The sequence below is a fragment of the Homo sapiens genome, chromosome 5 (genome assembly GCF_000001405.40).
Source record: "Homo sapiens chromosome 5, GRCh38.p14 Primary Assembly".
NCBI classification, from domain to species: Eukaryota; Metazoa; Chordata; class Mammalia; order Primates; family Hominidae; genus Homo; species Homo sapiens.
The window spans coordinates 146,106,942-146,129,443 of NC_000005.10; the positions used below are offsets into that span (position 1 = coordinate 146,106,942).

The following is a 22,502-nucleotide window of genomic DNA, read 5'->3' on the forward strand; positions in this document are numbered from 1 at the left end:
CCAGCTACATGCCCCTGCCTCAGGGCAAAAAATGCTTTTGACCACATACGTGCTAACAAAACTACATATGCATTTACCCTCAGACCCACAAGCCCACTTCTACAAATTTACTCTGAAGATATACCTCCACAAAAGTGAAATGACATTATTCATGAGGTTACTCACTATATCATTCCATACACATTCTATAAAATATTAAAAACTTAGAAACAACCTATATGTCCATCCATGGAGACTGGTTGAATAAACTAAGGTACACCTTTACAATAGTATTACATGAGCAAGGAAAGAAGAGGGGCAAAAGAGGAAGGAGGGAAGAAAAAGGAAGAGAAAAAAAGATTTTTTCTTTTTTTTTTTTTTTTTTTTGTGATGGAGTCTCGCTCTGTCGCCCAGGCTGGAGTGCAGTGGTGCGATCTCGGCTCACTGCAAGCTCCGCCTCCCGGGTTCACACCATTCTCCTGCCTCAGCCTCCCGAGTAGCTGGGACTATAGACACCCGCCACCACGCCCGGCTAATTTCTTTTGTATTTTTAGTAGAGATGGGGTTTCACCATGTTAGCCAGGATGGTCTTGATCTCCTGACCTTGTGATCCACCTGCCTTGGCCTCCAAAAGTGCTGGGATTACAGGCGTGAGCCACCACACCTGGCAGATTTTTTTCTTTTTAAAGAGCATGATCACAGCTCACTGCAGTCTTGAACTCCTAGACTCAAGTGATCCACCTGCCTCAGCCTCCCAAGTAACTGGGACTACAGGTATGAACCACTACAACTGGCTAATTTGAAAAAAAAAATTTTTTTTTTAGAGACAGGGTCTCACTATATTGCCCAGGCTGGTCTTGAACTCTCCCACTCCAGCCTCCCAAGGGGCTGGGATTACAAGCACAAGCCACCACATCTGGCTGAATCATGTATTTTTACTTATTCAAAAATCAGATAAAAAGAAAAAGCAAACCATAAAACTGAATATAAAGAGAAATGAATGGCTTTAATTTTATATTAAAAGCACATACAAGAAAGAATCCAAGAAACATTTCTTGATTAAAGAAAAAAACCAGCCAGGCATGGTGGTGCATGCCTGCAGTTCCAGCTACTTGGGAAGCTGAGGCAGGAGGATCACTTAAGCCCGGGAGATCAAGGCTGCAGTGAGCTCTGATTGCATCACTACACTCTAGCCTGGACCACAGAGTGAGACTCTGTCATCAAAAAAAAAAAAAAAAAAAGCAAGCAACCACATACAAAAAAGAATTCAGGAAATATTTAAATAGTGCTCTGACTATATCCCTTAGAGAAATATGTTCTAAGGACACAAAGAATTGCAAAACAAACAAAACCAAATACTGTACTTATTTATTGCTAACAGAATTGGATTGGCAATTCTGAAATTTTTAATAGACTAAATGACTAAATATATTGAGGTTCTTGAGAACCAGAGTTCTCACTGTGTGAGAAGGGAAATACAATTGCAAAGGGGAAAAGATGAGAGAGAATTCAGTGGTATTAGATAAAATTATGATTTTAAAAAACACTACTGTATGTATTTCTTAGTTCTGTCTATTGGAAGGGCCTGAAAAACAATGTCCTAGTAGCGCCTGGATCTTGGTTTCTTAATAACACTCTCCATTAAAATGAAGCAAAGCTCTCTGGAGAAAAGACTGATTTCTAGTTCTGAAACAGAAAACACAAGGCAAGTTGGGAACTTCTTATGCCATTATACAAAGAAATGCCCCAAAATTAATGTGGAGTTATAAAAAGGACAAATATTGTACTGCAGCCAGCTTGAATGGGGCTTCCACTGGTTAACTCAGAATTTGAGCGTTCAAAGAATAATGATGGTAATAGATTATAGCACATATGAAAAAAAGAAATCCATCAGTCCACAGTGATTTTAAAAGAATGATGAAAGAAGAACACTGGGGCCAGACACAGTGGTTCACACCTATAATCCCAGCACTTTGGGAGGCTCAGGCAGGTGGATCACCTGAGCTCAGGAGTTCAAGATCAGCCTGGGCAACATGGTGAAACCCCATTTCTATGAAAAATGCAAAAAACTTAGCCAGGCACGGTGGCACACACCTGTGGTCCCAGCTACTAGGAAGGCTGAGGAGGGAGGATGGCTTGAACCTAGAAGGCAGAGGTTGCAATGTGCTGACGCTGCACCACTGCACTCCAGCCTGGGCAACAGAGCCAGACCCTGTCTCAAAAAAAAAAAAGAAAGAAAGAAAAAGAAAAGAAAAAAAATTGGCAGCAAAAAGGAAACATCTTCTTCACAAAAGAATAATATCTAATAAATGTAAAAGAAATAATAATTTTATCATTTTTAAGAACTCACCATATTACAACCATCAATGCAATAACTGACAGCTTATCCATGAATGCTACCACTTCATGAAAGTTAGCTGATAAACAAATGTCTTAGTCCCTTCAGGCTGCTCTAACAAAATACCTTAAATTGGGTAATTTATAAACAACAGAAATGTATTGCTAGTTTTGGAGGCTAGGAAGTCCAAGAGGAAGGCACCAGCATATTCAACTTCTGGTGAGGGCCCATTCCTTATAGCTGGTGCCTTGTGTGTCCACACATGGCATAAAGGCAACAGGACTCCCTCAAGCCTCTTTTGTAAGAGCACTAATCCCATTCATGAGGAAGCCACCCTCATGACCTAATCACCTCCTACAGGCCCCACCTCTTAATACCAACACCGTGAAGATTAAGTTTCAACATATAAATTCTGGGGGGACATGAACACTCAGATCATAACAGCAGGATATTCATATAAGCCTCAAAGTATCAGCTCACAGACTACTTAATTACAAAAAGGAAGAGTAGCTTTTCAACCGAGAAATATGATGCTAATCAAATCCACAATACATTAATCCTGACATGATCCAGTGGGAAACATCACCTATGTAGTAATCTTGCCAAGAATTTTAAATCTGATTACAACCATGAGAAAATACAGAAATCCAGATTGTAAGCATCATGCTAACGACCAGCTTGATGTCTTCAAAGATGTTACTGTCATGAAAGATCAAAAAAAGAACAGAGAAACTACCCTAGTTTAAAGGAGATTAACAGACCTAACCACAAAATGTAATACTTGATCTTTGAATCCTGAGAGTTTTTCAAAGAACACATTATTGATGAGACATTGGGGAAGTTTTACTAGAAAAGCTTATTACCTAATATTATTGTATCATGTTAAATTTCTTGGGCATAATAACAACACTGTGATTATATAGGAGAATGTCCAAGTTCTTAGGAGTTGCGTGATAACCTATGGGAAGATGAAGTGTCATGGTGTCTGTAACTTACTGTCAAATGGTTCTGAATTTTTAAAAAATATTTTCTAAATACAATGTGTTATCCTGGATAGGATCCCATAATAGTAAAAAAAATTAATAGAAAAATTGGTGAAATCCAAACAAAGTATACAATTTAGTTAATCATAATGTACTCATGTTAATTACTTAGTTTTAACAACTAAACCAAGGTTAAGTAAGATGTTAACAGGAGAAACTGTGTAAAAGATGTACAGGATCTCTCCATATTAAAGATGCAACTTTTATGTAAGTCCAAAACTATTCCAAAATTAAAAGTTTATTTTAAAAATAGATACTTAGAGAGATAAAGTAAACGTGACACAATATTAACAATTGGCAAATCTAGGTGACAAGCGCATGGATGTTTACTGGCCAATTCTTTCCACTTTTCTGTAGGCTTAAAATTTCTCGAAATGAAGTGTTAAAAGAAAATAAAACTACTGAAGGTTAAAAGTAAATGAATGGAAAAGATAGTCTGCATGGACGTTAACCAAAAGATAACTGGTGTTACTATATTGTTAGGCAAAGTGGTCTCTAGGCAAAAAATAAATTAATTAAAAATAAAGAGAAATGGCCGGGTGCAGTGGCTCACGCCTATAATCCCAGCACCTTGGGAGGCCAAGGCAGGTGGATCACGAGGTCAGGAGTTCGAGACCAGCCTGGCCAAAATGGTGAAACCCTGTCTCTACTAAAAATACAAAAATTGTGGGGGGACGGGGGAGGGATAGCATTAGGAGATATACCTAATGCTAAATGACAAGTTAGTGGGTGCAGCACACCAGCATGGCACATGTATACTAACCTGCACATTGTGCACATGTACCCTAAAACTTAAAGTATAATAATAATAATAATAATAATAAAGAAAAAGAAAAAAAATACAAAAATTAGCCGGGCGTGGTAGCAAGTGCCTGTAATCCCAGCTACTCGGGAGGCTGAGGCAGGAGAATCGCTTGAACCTGGGAGGCAGAGGTTGCAACGAGCCGAGATCGTGCCACTGCACTCCAGCCTGGGCAAAAAAGAAACACTTTCTAACTAGAAAAAGTTCAACTTACCAGAAGGAATATAATCTGAATTTATATGTACCTAACAAAACAGCCTCAAAATATATAAAACAAAAACTGTCAGAATTATAACAAGATACAGGTAAATTTCATTGTCATGAGAGATTTTGGTATACCTCTCAAAAACAGAAAGAGAGAAAACAGTAAGGATATAGGTTTGAACAATTCAATCCACAACTCTGACCTAATGGACACATACAGTACTTTTGCATTTACAGAATATATATTTTTTTCAAGCTCAAATGCAACATTTATAAAAACTGACATATACTGGGCCAGAAAGCTTATCTCTAGCGACCAGAGAAGGCAAAAGGCAGACCTCTGTGGTGCTGGCACTGTGCCATTCTTCAACTGTTTGGTGACTGTGCAGGTGTTTGCTTTATTAATAAATTCTTTTTTTGGAGGTGGGGAGAGAAAGGAAGTTCATTTTTTGTGTGTGTATATTTTTTGCTCACTTTTTGTGTATGTGCATTGTATTTCAAAACTTAAAAAGAGTTAAAATCCTCTAGGAAGGCACTAACATAAGTTATATATAACATTATTATTATGCACCCAATTATATTATTGTTAATAATAGAATAAGCCCAGTGTAGCCTGTTTTTCCTTCAGCATTTCAACTAACTGCTGGTTCTTCTGTTGAGTACCAGATGAAGTAATGGGCTTATGCTCAGACGACTCCTTATACAAAACATTTGTATCTCTACACATAAGAAGCATATTCAGCACAGCAAGAAGCTTATTCTAAGAGAGACACACAGAAATCAAGACTGAAAAAACAAAGGATCCATGAATCTCAACTCACACCTAATCCAAAACAGTACAGGTTCATAAGATGAACACAATCACAATATTATTTTCCTTTCTCTCTCTTTTTTTTTTTCTGGCCAAGCACACATAGTTTAATTTTCCTAAGTTAAACACAAGTAGGTTTGTGTTTAGGCAACAGAAAGTATTACTTAATTTCAGAAATAATTAAGGCTTTGCAGATCAGAGAGGACAGCAAAAGAATCTAGAGGAGTGCAAAGAAAGAATCAGTTGCCCCAAAGGAACCAACACAAAGGACATGATTACAGACTACAGTAATCTGAAGCCAATATACCTTGGTATCCATCATCTTCTTCTTCTTCAATGGTAACATTCACTAAAGACTTACTACTTGCCAGGCACTGTGTTATGATTTTCCTAGATCAGTTCACCTAAACGTCTCACAATAAGCCTACAAGGTACCAGTATTAGTTCCATTTTATAGATGAAGAACTGCAGCTCCGAGTAATTGGCCAAGAGCATCCTAGTAGCAAAAAGAAGAACTGGAAATCTAACCTAGCTAGTCTGATTTCAGAGCATGCGCTCTTACCCCACTATGCTATAGTGCCTGTCCCTAGTAGATAAGTGATTATTTGCACTTGATGATTTCTAATTCTAACATCCTATGATTGGCTTCAATAAATCTGTGATAAACCATATGACTAGGCCTAGTGGTCCCTAACTGCGGAGAGCAAAATAAGGAAGCTCAATAAACTCTATTTACATAACCGCAGTTAGAATTCAGGTTCCTCTGGGTTATCAAAATTGTTCTTTCTCCATATTAAACCCATCAAAATTAGAAATGTTTCTCCTGTTAGTCAATGCCTTACATTTTTTCCTCATATGAAGACAGATGGCGCAGATATTAAAAGACACTCCAACAAGAATAAAAGAATAAATCTGTAATAGTCAGCATGACCTCTATTTTATTGATTGATTGATGGATTGATTGAGACAGAGTTTCACTCTTGTTGCCTAAGCTGGAGTGCAATGGCACGGTTTCAGCTCACTGCAACCTCGGTCTCCCAGGTTCAAGCGATTCTCCTGCCTCACACTCCCAAGCAGCTGGGATTACAGGTACCCGCCACCATGCCAAGCTAATTTTTGTATTTTTAGTAGAGACGGGGTTTCACCATGTTGGTCAGGCTGGTCTCAAACTCCTGACCTCAGGTGACTGCCCACCTTGGCCTCCCAAAGTGCTGGGATTATAGGTGTGAGCCACCACACCCGACCAGCATGACCTTTAAACACAATTGGACTTAAGACAAATTTAGTAAATGCAGATTTCTGGGGGGGAAGGGGGGAATCTTCTTTTAAAATGCCCATATTTAGTGTAGGTGAAATATACTGCTTATAAACTATTGATATTAGCCTTGAAGAAGCCATTATTGGTTCTTAGTTGAATAATTAAAGCTTTAAAAAGTCTTATAAAATGCAGGACCTATTTGTTCTTTATACAAAATACTTAGTAATTGAAGTCAAGTCAAAATATTCTCATTAGTTCTTTTAAATCATCATGAAGTTCTCTTCATTTAAAAAAAAAAGCTGCTAATTTACTACTTTTCTTTTTTAAAAAAAAATACAGCTAACTCCATAAATGAATATACTATAAAAAGCTGTTAGGTACACCTTAGCCTTCATCAAAGTATAAAGTACACCTCATAAAAGAAGCATACTGACACTTTTATGTTCATCTTAAAAACCAGAAACTTCTAGGAAATAGCAACAATTTGTTTTTTAAAAAGAGTTTGGCAAAAACCATTTCTCTTGGACACCCAAAGAAAGGGAAAAAAAATTTATTAGGTCCAGGAATCAAAGATGACTTGATAGAATTATGAATACATGCAGAATTGGATGGTTAGAAATGAAATCAATCTATTTAGGTCCAGCCTAAGGTTCTGATAGCCAATCAGTAGACACAATCAGAGTAGTAGTATTCCTAAGAAACCAGGATAAATCTCCAATGTGCATGAGTTTAATGAACCAGATAGATTATTGTATCGCCAATATCCACCCTTATCCCATTCTCAGTCAGATGAATTTTCTTGCTCATGAGGTCCACATTGAAAACAGCATGCTCAGAAATGGGGGTCTTCTCGGTGTACTCCTTTCCCAGGACAGGAACTCGTCGAGGCCCCAACAGTGGATCATCAAATCTCATCAGTTTCACTTTGGAAAGGTCTACAACAAAATAAATTATCAATATAAGCATTTAATTACAGTCACTCAAACCCTGGAGCAGTCTGAGAACTCACGTTTTAAATACGCTGGTTGTTATATCTAAACAAAAATATTTTCTTCAGATTATTAAATAAAAGCCACGCTGGGTGCGGTGGCTCACACCTGTAATCCCAGCACTTTGGAAGGCTGAGGCGGGTGAATCACTTGAGGACAGGAGTTCGAGACTAGCCTGACCAACATGGCAAAACACCATCTCTACTAAAAACACAAAAAAATTAGCTGGGCCTGGTGATGGGCGCCTGTGATCCCAGCTACTTGGGAGGCTGACACAGGAAAATCGCTTGAACCTGGAAGGCAGAGGTTGCAGTGTGCCAAGATCGCACCATTGCATGCCAGCCTGGGCAACAAAGTGAGACTCTATCTCAAACAAACAAACAAACAAAAAAAGCAGTGGCCGGGCATGGTGGCTCATGCCTTTAATCCCAGCACTTTGGGAGGCTGAGGTGGGCAGATCGCGAGGTCCGGAGATCGAGACCATCCTGACCAACATGGTGAAACCCCATCTCTACTAAAATACAAAAAATTAGCCGGGCATGGTGGTGCATGCCTGTAGTCCCAGCTAGTAGGGAGGCTGAGGCAGTGGAATTGCTTGAACCCAGGAGACAGAGGTTGCGGTGAGCCAAGATCGCGCCACTGCACTCCAGCCTGGCAACAGAGCAAGATTCTGTCGGGGGGAAAAAAAAAAAAAAAAAAAAACAATCCCAGGAGCAAAGCTAAAATGTAGCAAATCTTCATCCCCTTTCAGCTTTTACCCAGCTCAAAGTGTCAGAGATTCTGACATCTCCTGGAATTACAAACTAAGAGAGAGAAAGAATTGTGTGTATTTTTTAGCATTATCCTATATGGTCTCTCAAATCATTTTTATATGCTTCAATTAACCATTGTACAGAATATCGAAAAATCTAAAACTTACCCCTTTCTTGAGCTCCCTGGAATACACTAAACTTGCAAGAATTGTAGCTTTTCTCAGAGATACTTTTGGATAAATAATGACTACTCTAAGAAATGGCATTACCAGTTTCTCATTTGCTCAAAAGATGAAAGTATTTGTATTAACAAGTTGATGAGACAAGGAGAGCGGGGACAAGGCAGAGAAAGGACAGAAATTTAAGCTTTCAGAATTTTTAGCTGTAGGATGAGGTCTAATACCCACCCTGCTTGAGATTTTCCTAATCTGCTCTTATGCAAGCTGAAAAAATAGCGCCTGACCAAAAAAAAAAAAAAAAAAAAAAAAAAAAGCACCTGTCTCTTGAACAACTTTGTAAGTCAACAATCCTGCCAACAACTGAGCCCAAAAGAAGTATATTTATTTCAGCAATTCTGAGACTTCCCAACATCAAATGGTTTTATTTTATATGGCAGAAAAACACCAGAAATGACTACAAATGCTGATTCTGGGTTTATATCTCATTCGAAGTGTAGCATGGCTAGTTATCCTTAACCTGATCCATAGAAATAGAAGATATTTTCTGAATTACTTCCCATTTCTTTCTGAAACACACCTGAGCTACCCTCCCTCATGTTGACTTGAGAGTACAAAGCTTAGTATAAGAGGGATAAGAGATAAAAGAAGACTTTAATGCAGCTGGCGGCCATGCCAACCAAGAATACAAGTTATCCATGCATTCTGTCCTCTTCGGGAAACAAAGACCGAAGTTTAGAGAAGGGGCTTATAGAACAATTACCTGCGACTACCACAAAAGCAAACCCTGTCTAAGAGTCTTTGGAGAGTTTCTGCAGGGACCATACAATCTATTCCCAGACACAGTACGAGCCCTGAAAATTAAAATGGGAAGAGAGCAGGCGCAATCTTCATGACAGCCACGATCTTATTTTGGGGAAGAATACAATTAATTTTAACAGCTATTGCAATTCAACGTACACATCAGTGGTACCAAATATTTTGCTATAGATGCAGTGACAAGTTCTGCCAGCAGATTTTATGCATAAGGCCTTTTACTGCGGATCTGCCTCTGCCTCTTTCTCTCTCATACACACACACTCTTTCTCTCTGTCTAAAACAGACCTCCCTCATCATTCCAAGCAATTCTGAATCAAACTAGTTCAAAGAAACCTTAATACTCAATCAGGCTTCTAAGTGACAAAACATATTTGCTTTGATGTTTCACCATGTAGTTCATTACTGTCCATAGATTCGTAGAGCTTTCTTACTGGTTTAACTGTCTTTTATCCCAGACTTCTCTTATCATTGAAACTGTTGAAATTTAAGCCTGCAACTACATAAGATTTAAGGCTCTTAGAGAAAAGATGAGAGTGATTCTAAGTCCCTAGGGACTGATAACGAGAAATGAAGGCTTTCACTTCCAAGTTGTTAGTTCACATATGGCATGGGTTGTGAGTGATTCAAATTTATTACCATCAGATAGTTTACTCAGTGGCCTTTGTGGAATGAAATGATAGTTTTAGTTCAGTTCCTCCCGGACCCAGATCATAATTACCCTCAATACAACTGGCACTAATTGGACAATTTGCTGTCTATTGCAGCAAACAGACCAATAACTATGTTACTGAATTTAACTCCTCTTCCATCTCATATACTGAATATACTCAGGCCTTTTAGATATCAAGGCATCCTGAGGGCTTTTGGTAAAGTATCAAGGTTAGATCTCTTCTGCAGATACTTATAGGAATAGCAATTTCAAACTCTCTCTAATGTTTCTATTTTCTAAAATTTACAACAGCTACTAACATCAAACTTAAGACACTTTAGATAATATTTTTCACAGCTAGTATGACAAAGGAGATAAGAATTATGCCAAAGGCTCAATGAGAAAAGACAAGAAATAGGAAATACATTTCAGTACAATTCTGCAGAACCTAGTCAGTGCTATATTTGAGTACATTTAAAACAGAGGTAGATTTAACATAATATAATACAATTTTCAATACAGAAATACATCCTTTTATGTGCTATAACATCATAATAATCCCATCCAAGCAGGGCCGGTGTCTCATCCCTGTGATCCCAGCACTTTGGGAGGCCGAGACAGGCAGATCACTTGAGGCCAGGAGCTCAAGACTAGCCTGGCCAAGTTGGCAAAGCCCTGTCTCTACTAAAAATAGAAAAATTAGCCAGGTGTGGTGGCTCATGCCTATAATCCCAGCTACTCAGTAGGCTGAGGCATGAGAATTGCTTGCATCTGGGAGATGGAGGTTGCAGTGAGCTGAGATTGTGCCACTGCACTCCAGCCTGGGTGACAGAGGGAGACTCTATCTCAAAATAAGTAAATAAATATAATCCTATCCAGTGGGTCCACACACATATCTATTTTCTTTAAAAGCCACTATCATGCTCTTTCTGCTTCTTGTGGCCTATAAGTTCTGAGGATGAAGCTATCATTCTATGGTACCTAGTTCACTGAGAGGACATAATAAATGCATATAACATGATGAAACTTGAAGATATTTTGCTAAGTGAAATAAGCTAGACACAAAAGGAAAAATATTGTGTGATTCCAATTATATGAGGTACTGAGAACAGTCAAATACATGAGGTAGGAAGTAGAACAGTGTGGTGCGAATGTAAATTTGTATAGCCACTATAAAAAACAGTATCGAGGTTCCTCAAAGTATTAAAAATAGAACTACAATATGATCGAGCAATCCCACTACTGGACATATATCCAGTAAGAAATGAAGAAATGAAATCAGTATGTTGAAGAGATATCTGTACTCCCATGTTTATTGCAGCACTATTCACAATAGCCAAGATATGCAATCAACCTAAGTGTCCATCAACGGATGAATGAAAAGAGAAAATGTGGTAAACAATGAAATATTATGCAGACATAAAAAAGAATGAAGTCCTGTCATTTGTGACAACATGGATGAGGCTGGAAGACATTATATTAAGTGAAATAAGAAAGGCACAGAATAACAAATATCGCATGATCTCACTCACATGTGGAATCTAAAAAAGTTGATTTCATTGAAGTAGAGAATAGAATCATGGTTATCAGAGGCTGGGAAGGATGGAAGAGAGGGGACTGGAAGGAGGTTGGTCAACAGGTACAAAGTTATAATTAAATGGGAGGAATAAGTTATACTGTTCCATTACACAGTAGATGACTACAGTTCATAATAATATATGGTACATTTCAAAATAGCTGTAAGAGGAGCTGTTTGAATGTTCTCACCACAAAGAAATGATAAATGTTTGAGGTGATGGATATGTTAATTATCCTAATTTGATAATTACACATTGTAAATATGTACCAAACCTCACACTGTACTCATAAATATGTACATTTATCTGTCAAAAATAAAACTTAAAAGAAAAAAAGACAGTAGAGCAGTGATTACCAGGGACTGGAGGGAAGGAGAATGGGAGTTATTATTTAATGGGTATAGGGTTTCAATTTGGGATGATGACGAAGTTGTAGAGATGGATGGTGGTGATGGTTTCACAGCAATGTGAATGTATTCAAGCCTCCTGAACTGTACACATAAAAATGACTAAAATAGTAAATGTTATGTTAGGTATATTTTACCACAATTAAAAAATACACCTATAAACAACAACATCCCTAACCCTAGTATACTGTTGCTGCTGATGCTCTGTACACAGAGAAACAAAAGCAACTGGTATTTCCCTCCTGGATACCCTTTCCCCTTACCTTTATGGGTATAATGTTCAAGGCCCCATCCAAACAGTATTTTCTCCATAAATTAGTCCCTGATCCCTGCAAGTGGAAATAATCTCACGTTCCTCTGTGCTATACATTTTACCTGTACCTTTCTTACTACACTCAGCAATTTCTCCTTACATTATCATACACTGCAATAGCTTAGTTCCCTACTCCTTTACTAGATGCAGCTCCTAATGAACAGCACTCTGTGGACTCCCCAAAGCCCCAGTACATACAAAGGAGTCTCTACATACACAGTTGTCTCTACAAACACTACATATATTAGTGTCTCAATAAGTATCCACAGAAGGGAAACAACTTCGAGAGAACACAAAATAAATGACAGAATGAATTCCCAAGAGCTATTTCAAGTCTCCTATTTTAATTCATGTTACTACCCTAATATAGTTCCATAAATTAGGTTATTGTTAGGGATTTATAAATCTTTTTAGAAAATTTTTGTAGTGATGGAAAGTGGCCAATCAACTTTTGATTGCTATCAAAAAGAAAAAAGACAGATAATACAAAATAGAGAATCACAACATTAATTTGTTTTCATAGCTCAGAAGAAAAATAAGAGAGACACACTATCTCCCTTCACACTCTGCTCACCGTAGGACCTGGCTGGATGACGAAAAGAAAAGCCATAAATTATTACATTGAATCTAATCACAAAAGATGCAGACTTATTCTTGATAATAAGTTAAGATTACTGACATATTTTACCTGGAGGCACATTGTTTAGAAGAAAGAATATGAGCTTTGGAGTCAAACAGACCTGTTTGAATTCCAGATCTAGAGTTTACTAGCTAAACAAACTTTGCAAGTTACTTAGCCTTTTTAGCCTCCAGTTCACCATCTATAAAAGGGAAATAATAAGAATACCCTCTACATTATAGAACTGTAAAAGGATTAAATGGTTAATACATGGAAGACATGCAATAACTTTTACTCTGTTTCTCTTCCTTCTCAAGGAACAGACCTGCTGGACAGGTTAGTTTAGAATATTAAGGGTATGTGTTCCTTGATTCTGAATATCTCTGAGAGACAGAAATCACTCATTACAATTTTAGAGCTAGAAAGAAAGATGAAAACTATCTAATCCCTCTATTGTCCTCACATTAGTAAATGAAAAATCAGTTTTGAGCTTAAGTGACATGGCAAAGCCACTAAGCTACCTAGCCACAGAGTCCCAAAAAGAATAGTTTTCTTGATTCTGATCCCAGTACTTTTTCCATAATAATACACAGCTGTCCATAAGCAAGCCGGTTTCTTTTCTTTTTCCTTTCTGCTTAGAACTCACCAAATCTACAAGCTACTGACAAATGGGAGTTTTGGGGAACAACTTACCTTTAATTCCTCGATTCATTTTCATTAAACGCCTGATTATGGAATCACAGTTATCTCCTTGCCTGATTTCAATTTTGGTTGAGAAGTGGCCATTGGATGGCTGGGGATTCACCAGAGAAACGGACACACCAGGCTAGGAAAACAACAAGAAAATGATTGTTTAACTTGAATACTGCTGAGGGAGGAGGAATCTCTGCTACGTTTTCAATGCCCAATGAAAGACAGATCTAATTCTGGTATTTTAAAATCATGACTAAGGAGTACTCAAATATGAAAGAAAAGCTGTACAAGCTCATGCTTATAACCAAATGCCTAGGTAAAGATGACTACAACTACATATATCAACACCAATGATGGACACTAACAATAACTACATTTTCTCTTCCACAACCACCATCATTCACTGAATCTCTACTATGTATTAGGCATTGTACTAAGCACTTCATCGACGTTAGTTCTATATCCCTGAAGTAGTTCTTTTGTACCCTTTTTCACAAAAGAGAAGCTGAGAACCAGAAAGATTAAAAATCAGCACAAGGTCACACAGCTAGTAAGTGGCAAGGTCAAGATTCAACATAAACCTATGTTGTACTTATAGAAGCTACATAGTCCAGAACCCTGTTTATTATTTTTAAGTGGAAAAAAGTCAAATGAGTCTTGTGAAAGACTTAAATACATAGTATCTTAATAGAATACTTGAAAATGGTTTGAAATAAATATATTTGTATAAGGAATATTTTCATATACCTATCTCCATGGCTCAAATGACTGAACTATTAAAAGCTACCACATCTTAATGCAATGAGCATATTCCTTACATGATGCTAAATTCAGGAGGTATCCATAATCACGATTTCCTTATTCTTTCAAAATAGGCCTTTTCTGTTTGCTGGGTTTTCAAATGTGGCAAAAGTAAAAAAACATATCTAAGTCCTCTGCTTATCAAGACAAGGAGGGCAGTTTACAGACTCTCCCAATTGCAGTCCCCTGGACTTTGCCAAATGCTGCCAATCTGAATGGATTCTTTGAGACTAAAAAAACAGAATGTCCTTCCTCAAGGATCTAGATCCAGAAATACCATCTGACCCAGCAATCCCATTATTGGGTATATACCCAAAGGATTATAAACCATTCTACTATAAAGACACAGGCACACATATGTTTACTGCAGCACGGGCCACAATAGCAAAGACTTAGAACCAACCCAAATGCTCATCAATGATAGACTGGATAAAGAAAATGTGGCACATATACAGCATGGAATACTATGCAGCCATAAAAAATGATGAGTTTATGTCCTTTGTAGGGACATGGATAAAGCTGGAAACCATCATTCTCCACAAACTAACACAGGAACAGAAAACCAAACACTGCATGTTCTCACTCCCAAGCTGGAGTTGAACAATGAGAACACATGGACATAGGGAGGAGAATATCACACACCAGGGCCTGTCAGGGTGGGGTGGGCAACAGAAGGGATAGCGTTAAGAGAAATACCTAATGTAGATGACGGGTAGATGGGTGCAGCAATCCACCATGGCACGTGTATACCTATGTAACAAACCTGCATGTTCTGCACATGTATCCCAGAACTTAAATTAAAAAACAAACAAACAAACAAAAAACAGAATATCCAAAACCTTTTTGTCTTCACCAATAACAGCCAAAAACTAAGAGGTTAAAAAAAGCTATTCCAGCATAACTTAAGATTATGCATCAATCCAGTTTATACAAAACAGCCTTGAATAACAATCAAACCAAGACTCATCTGAGGTTTAAAAGCTCCTTTTAACTGTCTAAAAAGGTCCTACATTTCCAGTATTTTTAAATAAAAACCAGATTTTGAAAATCATACTTTCTATTTTTAAAACCCACAAATAACATCTGATAGTTCCTATAATAGTAAACTGAGGAAAAGGTAAGTATTGCACTGACCAAGGAATTAGGACATTTCAGGTACATCCCCATTTCTAACACTCTATGGGGTCTACAACAAACCAACCACTTAATTTCTCTGGACCTTACTTTGTTCTATTTTTTAAATGTGGGTTTAGATGTAATGATCTCTAGGTCTCTTCTGGTTTTAAAATGCAATGATTCAGTGAGATTCCTTCAACTTACTTCTATTCTAAAAACATTAAGTGGTTTCCCAGGACAGCAGTCTTCCCTGATTTTATCTTCTGCTTCGGAGGCAAACTTGACTTCTATGTGTTCTAGCTAAACAGACGGGAAAAAATGGAAGTTATTAGTATCACTTAATGTGATTCAAATTAATCATCACCTCATTTCACCAAGAACAAAACTAGGTTCTCCAGTTAACATGAAATGGTCTGTGCAATTTTATTATTTTCCATATAAATATTAAATGAAATCTGTAATCAGTTATTTAACATTCGTTTTAGATGTCTCATAGTATTGTTATTTATATAGTCATGTTTATCATTTTCTATAATGAAATCTGGCATCTATCTGCCATATAAAACAAAATGAAAATCAGCATAAGAGGCTTCCACTTAAGACAAATGGAAGTTCAGAAATTTATCATTTGAGAATAAAAGGCTTCCACTTAAATAAATGGAAGAAAAGCTCAGAAATATAGCACAGTGCATATGTCTGAATATAAGATGACCCTGAACATAAGGTGCGTCTGCATGGTCCAAGTGAAAAGATCCAAGAAGTTTTTTGACCTACATGAATATATATGAACATTTAGATATACATAAAATGGATGTCATTTAATATTTATTAATTTCATTAACTCATTTAAAATAAAATACTTAATTAGAAACAACTTTCTTCCATCTCCGTATTTCACAAAACAATTTTACTTAAATTCCAAACCTATATTTTTTTTACTTGAGTGTCTTCATTATTACTAGGACCACTTTTTGAGTGCTCTAACAGTTTTCTAGAGCACATGACTTTTCCTTTTGCCTAAGTTGTCTGAGACCAGCTTATTTACGATCTATATATAAAGTTGTGAGTGGGGCACAAAGATTGGATGGGGAGAACGTCACAGATATATAAAAGCTATTGGTACTGTTCTAGTTCCTGGATTGGGTAGAAAATTCAGGGATGTTCATTTTATTATAAATTGGGAGGAAAAAAACACGGCAAGACATGGAACAATCATAATATATCATGAACCAAATCATAATATATCATGAACCATAATATATCATGAACCAATATATCAGTGCAGCAATTCTAAACCAAAGATTATAATTAATCCAATTCTGCAAATCAAAAGGGAGGGGGGAAAAAAGGCAACAATTCAGAGTACTCCATAACATGAGAGGCTTGGAAAGCATTTGAATATAAGGTCTCTTAAAAATAATTTGCAGTAGAATAGCCAGATATACAGTTTTTTAATGTATAATTGATTATATGTAAATTAAGAATTGATGAAATAAGATGACATATCACTTTTTTTCCTGCAACTTTTATACTCACCCATTTTTCTTCTCTCCAAAAATATTTTCGACTAATATATTTAACAAAGATACTAAACACAGAAGATGAAATTTATAAAAAGGTTTATTATAAAATAAAAGAGCTGGATTATGGTTTAACTACAGTTAACTGGTTATTACAATCCCTGGCCCTCTTACCTCAAGCGAATTAGTCAGATAGACTATATTCTCCATAAGCACAGCCTTTTCATCAAATTCTAATTGCAAATCCAGAATACGAGGCCCCATCTTCTCCAGATTTTCCTAATAGCCAAAATGGTATGGAAAAACAAAATCACAGTAAGAATATGTTGGAAAACATACTTCCTCCAAAGTAATCATTCTTCTCTCAACTGATAAAATCTTCAGATTTCAGGAGTTAAAGGAAAGGCCTTGGACTCATGATTTCCTTTACCTACATTTGCTTGTTAATGAAATTTACTAGCTCCAAATAATTATCTTTTAAAGTATTATAAGATTATGGCAGCACTGAAAAGATGGGAAGGCACAAGGTTTTCAGATTTATAAAATAAATACGGTTTTATGATTGTTTATTTAGACTGACTTAACATGCAAGCCCAAAGAATTCACTTTACAGGGAATCAGCCAAATGTGTGAAAATATCCCTTTAAGTTACCCAAAAAAAACAAAATTTTAATTTTCTGAGATACCACCTTCTTAAAGCTGTTTCAGAGAATAGTGAATTAATAATATCCAAACAAAAAATCCCCAAAGATATTTCTGCAAAGTTTAAAGAAAAAAAACTCATACTACATGAGTACTCAAACATGGCATGTAAAAAATAATTTCTTATTCTTAATTTTCTTGGGTAGTCAATATTTGCTGTGCAAAATAGAATCCTAGAGATCCAAGTACATATGCAGATATAACTACCTAGAACATGTTATACTTAATGAAAGTGACCTGATATTATTCCTGCTACTCACTGTTTTCGCTTACTATGCAAGTTCTATTTCTTTTTCTCATGGAAGTGCTAGAAAGTCATTTTCTTATTCCCAGATGTATTAATCCCTTCCAAAATTTGCAAAACCACTAATTTGCCTGGCAAATCACCAACATAATTTTAAAAATATATTACCACTCAAACGGTCTGATGCTGGTTCTTCAAATTTAAATGAGATCCTAAAGAAGCCAACTCTTGAATCTAATATCATTTTATACACACACACACACGCACACACACACTCTATATATATATACATATACACATAACTACTTTTCAAATAGGTTTCCCTGGATTCTTTTAAAACATGTCATCAAAATTAATTGCCTTTGCAACCATCAATGGAATATTTTGTTGGATCCACATGTTGACAGAGATTTGGCATTATGACCAATGACACTAGCCACTGGGGAACCAACGAACTATGAACATACCAGCACTTACATTACAACTTGATTAGTGTAGGTCAACACAGGATTCTAAATTACTTCTGAAACTTAAAATACCCTGAGGATCAAATAGTGACTTTGGTCTAAGAGAATTAAAAACCTTTTCCAAGAATACTAATCTATTATAATATTGAAGAAGTTAAGAGGTCTGGTCTCCATCAGGCATCTGCAGCCAAGAAGACACAAGAATTAAAGGACAGTACAAGAATAACTACAATATGCTTAGTAGGCTGGAAGATACTAATTTGTATTTTTAAACAACATTTACTGAGCCTACTTCTTGACTAGTGCTACTTAAGTGTGTTAGGTACACTATTTTATTTACTCCTCACAGCACTCCTAAAAAGTTTGGTTCTATAGTATCCTCATTTTATGGATGAAAAATCCTGTAGCCCAGAAAATTTAAGTGATTTGTCCAAGGTCTCAAAACTAAGGAGTGACTGATACACAGAATTTCAACCAAGATTTTTCTGGCCCCATAGCCTGCGATCTTAAGCAATATAAGCCTTCTTTCGGTTTCTTTTTGTCAAGAAATCCAGTAATACATCAGCGACGTATATGAAGAAAACTAAGGGTCTAACCCAATAATTCTCAATGGTAAGAAGTGGAAGGTGATTCTGCCCCCAGCGGACATTTGGCAATGTCTGGAGATATTTTTCATTGTCATAACTAGCAGGAAAGGTAGTTCTACTGGCTTCTAATGAGTAGAAGCCAGGGATGCCATTACATATCCTACAGTGCACAAGAAAGTGCCCCACAAGAACTATCTAGCCCAAAATACCAACAGAGCTATGCTGAGACACCCTGGTCTAACCACTATAACCAATGTTTACCCTGTTAAGCTATACCTATACAAATGTTGAATCCTGGTTCCAGGAATAGGGTCTAGGAAATGCAAGCCTCTATAAGCCTAATGTAAGCCAAAAGAGTTTGAAAGAAGGGAAGGTAGAATATGAAGGGAATAGTTCAGTGCAGCCATTCTAAACCAATTTTTCTCCCACAATAATATTTTTCACATACTCAGCAATTCCACAAGTAAACCCAAAATCTGATAGATCATTTCTCTCAGTCATTGATTGAAAAGTGCTATTTTAGCAGATTTCTGGCAGGAGACTATGTCCAAGGCTTTTCCCCATCCTTCTATTGTCCCATCTAACCATTGCTCATGTGGTCACAGCTGCATAAGGTCCACAGCTTACCTTAATCATGGCAACAAATGGCATGACTTTCTTCATGTATTTCTTCAGTTCTGGCATACTGCCTAGTTCACTAGCAATGACTTTGTTGTCAGGCAGTTTTCCGTTATTGGCCTAAGAAAAGGAAGGAGGGAGAGTAATGTAGAAAAAAAAGTCTCAAGAATAAGGCAGAACAGTAGATGTGACCAGGCATAGAATGGTGGCCTCTATCAATCCTTAGAGAACAGCAGAAAAGTGTCCAGCCCTAGCATCACGGGGAAGTGAAAGCTCAATGAACAATGCAGAAGGAACTCTCCTATTCTCTATAAATTAACAACACATACTTTTTAGTTTAGAAGAGAAAAAGAAGTGATTTGTGTTGAATATTTCTCCTGTTCAGAAACTAAATGGTCTCATAAAAACTTGTTTTCAAATTTCTAAAAGCATTTTATTAGTCATATTAAAATAAAAAATTACACAACTATCATACAAGTTTATATAATGTCTGCTTTTGGACACTTGGAAGAAACTGTTACCACAATTGTGAAAAGAATCCCTAGCTACTGACCTGTTAAAAACAGAATCATTTCTATCTACTCAAAAATAAATGTCCATATCATATATCACTGATGAGTACAATCCAAGTGTGCTTTAAATGAATCTAAATTCATTTCTTTCTACAAATATTAACGGTCCCCTCAATAGAGTGAGAAATAAAGCAACTGGTCTTTTCAAAGTTTTGGGCAACTTGTTTTCTCTTTATTGTAAAAGAAGGGTTGGGAATGAATCTAAATGAAAAGGAACATATAATACAATTTCAAATAATCTATTTTCAATTCTAACTTTTACTAAAGTACATGGGAAAAAAATATTCTACTTGTTAATATATTCCTCTGAAACACACGAAAAAGAAAAAGGGTGGGAAACACTCCTTTGCCTTATGTCACCAAAATGGTGCCACATTCAACATAAGAACACTCTTCGTGATTATAAATGAACATTCTTTTCATTCCTGTGGATGAAAACATACAAAAATCTAAAAGACAGCTGCTAATGCCAAAAGATACCACTGTTTTCAATTATCTAGCAAATGAATAGTAAGTAAAAAAACAACTTCAAAAAGAACAGAGGTGATGCATTTTTTAATACCTAAGACATTACATATTATATTTGGGTTCTTCCACTGCTTCCTTGAAATTGCTGGTATGAATATATAATCCACTGAGGTAGTTTCACTTTTGTGCCAACCAAAGTAGCTTTTATCTTTTATTTACCTTAATTCAAAATCTGCAAGCAGATTCTAAAGGCCACCTTCTATTTCTATCATATATACTCAAAGGTGGAAATAGTTCTCCACAAAAATAGACTCACAAGAAATACAAAAACATTTGCTCTTCTCTATCAAATTTTACATATGTAAAAGCAGCTTTTCTTAGCATTTCTTAATTAACTATGAAAAGTGTTGAGGCAAAATTCCAATAATGGTCTAGAATATCAAAGCTAAGAATTTTTCCTTTACGTTTCTTCTTTACATTTTGACCACAATCCGTATTTTGTCTCTCTTTTTAAAGTGCACCTTAGTGGTCTGCATCTAGCAATAACTGTTTTAATAACCTAAGCAAAAAAGCCAAAGTTCATAAACATACTTTGTTTCTACATTTTGAATGCAGAGGAAAAATACATTTTTTTCTTTCAGGAAAACTTAGATCTAAGTTATTGAGTTCCCTTTAAGTGGATTTATCATTACCTGGCACAGCCAAAAATGTCTTCAAGCTCTACATTTCTATAGGTAATTATCAAACCAAACAACATTTAAAGTACTCAAGAACAAAGCTTCACTTTTTTCCAAACAATAAACAAGGTTACGATTTGAAATAATTTAATGAATGAATATAATGAATGAATAAATTTAATGAATGACTCCCACTGCTCAAGTTACAACAAATTCCAAAGGCAAACTCTGTCCTTTTATTTCATCATTTCAACTACACATATGAAAACCCCCAATTCTTTTGATTACATTCAACTAGATCCAATGTATTTTTGTATAAATTTTTCAGAAATGAGAGGAAAACAGCAGCTTTTCCCTCAGCATCCATTTAAGAGCCACCAAGAATAACAAAAGGATGCTGTCTGCCTAGAGGGAATGAAACAAAGCTGCCTATCTTTCTTCTCCCAGACATTGCCAACATCCTAAAAACAAAAACAACATAGGGAGCATACAACACCATCAGGGGGGAAAAGTCTACTGAGAGCATCACCTCAAAGTGTTTACGTAGAACAGACAGGGTGGTATGTTGCCAAGGTGGATAGTTCTTTGCCACATAGATGGTGCAATGTGAGGGCTTCTGCAGGGGTTGTTTGTCAGTCTTCTAGACGGTAAAAGAAAGGAAAAACATTCAATAGCTTTTATATAAACCAAAAATGAGAAGAACCCTCCCCCAACATACACCACCACGGTCTTCACCATTAATGAAAATCTTTTTAACTTTCATTATTGTTAAATGTTATCTGATCAATAACTTTTAAGGAATAATCCTTTAAAAAAAAAAACAAAAAAACTTTACCTTCCCTTTAGCTGGCATCATATAGTTCTTGAGTCGTAGTCTAAGGTCATGTGTTACTTCCATAAGATACTGTGAGGAGTGTATTAAAACTTCATTAACAGGACCTGCCACAGGCCATGAAGCATTCATAATTGAGTCAGGCTTTTAAAAAAAGAAAAACAAAAAAACCTTCAGTGAGATTAGACAATATAACTATTTTACGGTTCTTGATTATAGTTTCATACCAAGGATACCATCTGTAATTGTGTGCTCAGAGTTCAAACTTGACTACACATAACACACTTGCACAGCCCCTGATCTAATGTTCCCTAGAATTCAAGCTGTGAAGTCTGACTCTACATTCTTAATTAGCATCCATTTGTACAAGCATATTAATACCCACACACATATGCTCACTTTCAAAGAAAATTATGTAATGCTAATTTGCCTAAATTTAATCATTATTATATAAATTATGCATACACTC

The 22,502-nt window shown here is 36.4% G+C and overlaps 1 protein-coding gene across 5 annotated transcripts in view, besides 2 other annotated features; it reads right to left on the reverse strand.

The window, feature by feature from the left end:
- Positions 6,093 to 22,502, reverse strand: part of LARS1 (leucyl-tRNA synthetase 1) — a 69,617-nt gene continuing 53,207 nt past the window's right edge. For all 5 annotated transcript variants that reach the window (XM_011537656.4, NM_001317965.2, NM_016460.4 and 2 more), the window contains 7 exons: positions 22,037 to 22,177; positions 21,731 to 21,841; positions 19,494 to 19,604; positions 17,041 to 17,145; positions 15,551 to 15,646; positions 13,430 to 13,562; positions 6,093 to 7,370 (listed from right to left, as the gene is read on the reverse strand). In XM_011537656.4, the coding sequence (XP_011535958.1) occupies positions 7,165 to 7,370; positions 13,430 to 13,562; positions 15,551 to 15,646; positions 17,041 to 17,145; positions 19,494 to 19,604; positions 21,731 to 21,841; positions 22,037 to 22,177 (903 nt within the window). In that variant the 3' untranslated portion in view covers positions 6,093 to 7,164. The remainder of the gene's footprint in view (positions 7,371 to 13,429; positions 13,563 to 15,550; positions 15,647 to 17,040; positions 17,146 to 19,493; positions 19,605 to 21,730; positions 21,842 to 22,036; positions 22,178 to 22,502) is intronic.
- Positions 8,731 to 8,900: an enhancer, noted in NCBI's record as "experimental_81226 CRE fragment used in MPRA reporter constructs". NCBI's record gives its function as "activates a minimal promoter by MPRAs in K562 erythroleukemia cells, with activity observed for the non-introgressed 5:145495320 variant allele {active_cell/tissue: K562}" and the evidence as "EXISTENCE:reporter gene assay evidence [ECO:0000049][PMID:34662402]".
- Positions 19,170 to 19,339: an enhancer, noted in NCBI's record as "experimental_81266 CRE fragment used in MPRA reporter constructs". NCBI's record gives its function as "activates a minimal promoter by MPRAs in K562 erythroleukemia cells, with activity observed for both the introgressed and non-introgressed 5:145505759 variant alleles {active_cell/tissue: K562}" and the evidence as "EXISTENCE:reporter gene assay evidence [ECO:0000049][PMID:34662402]".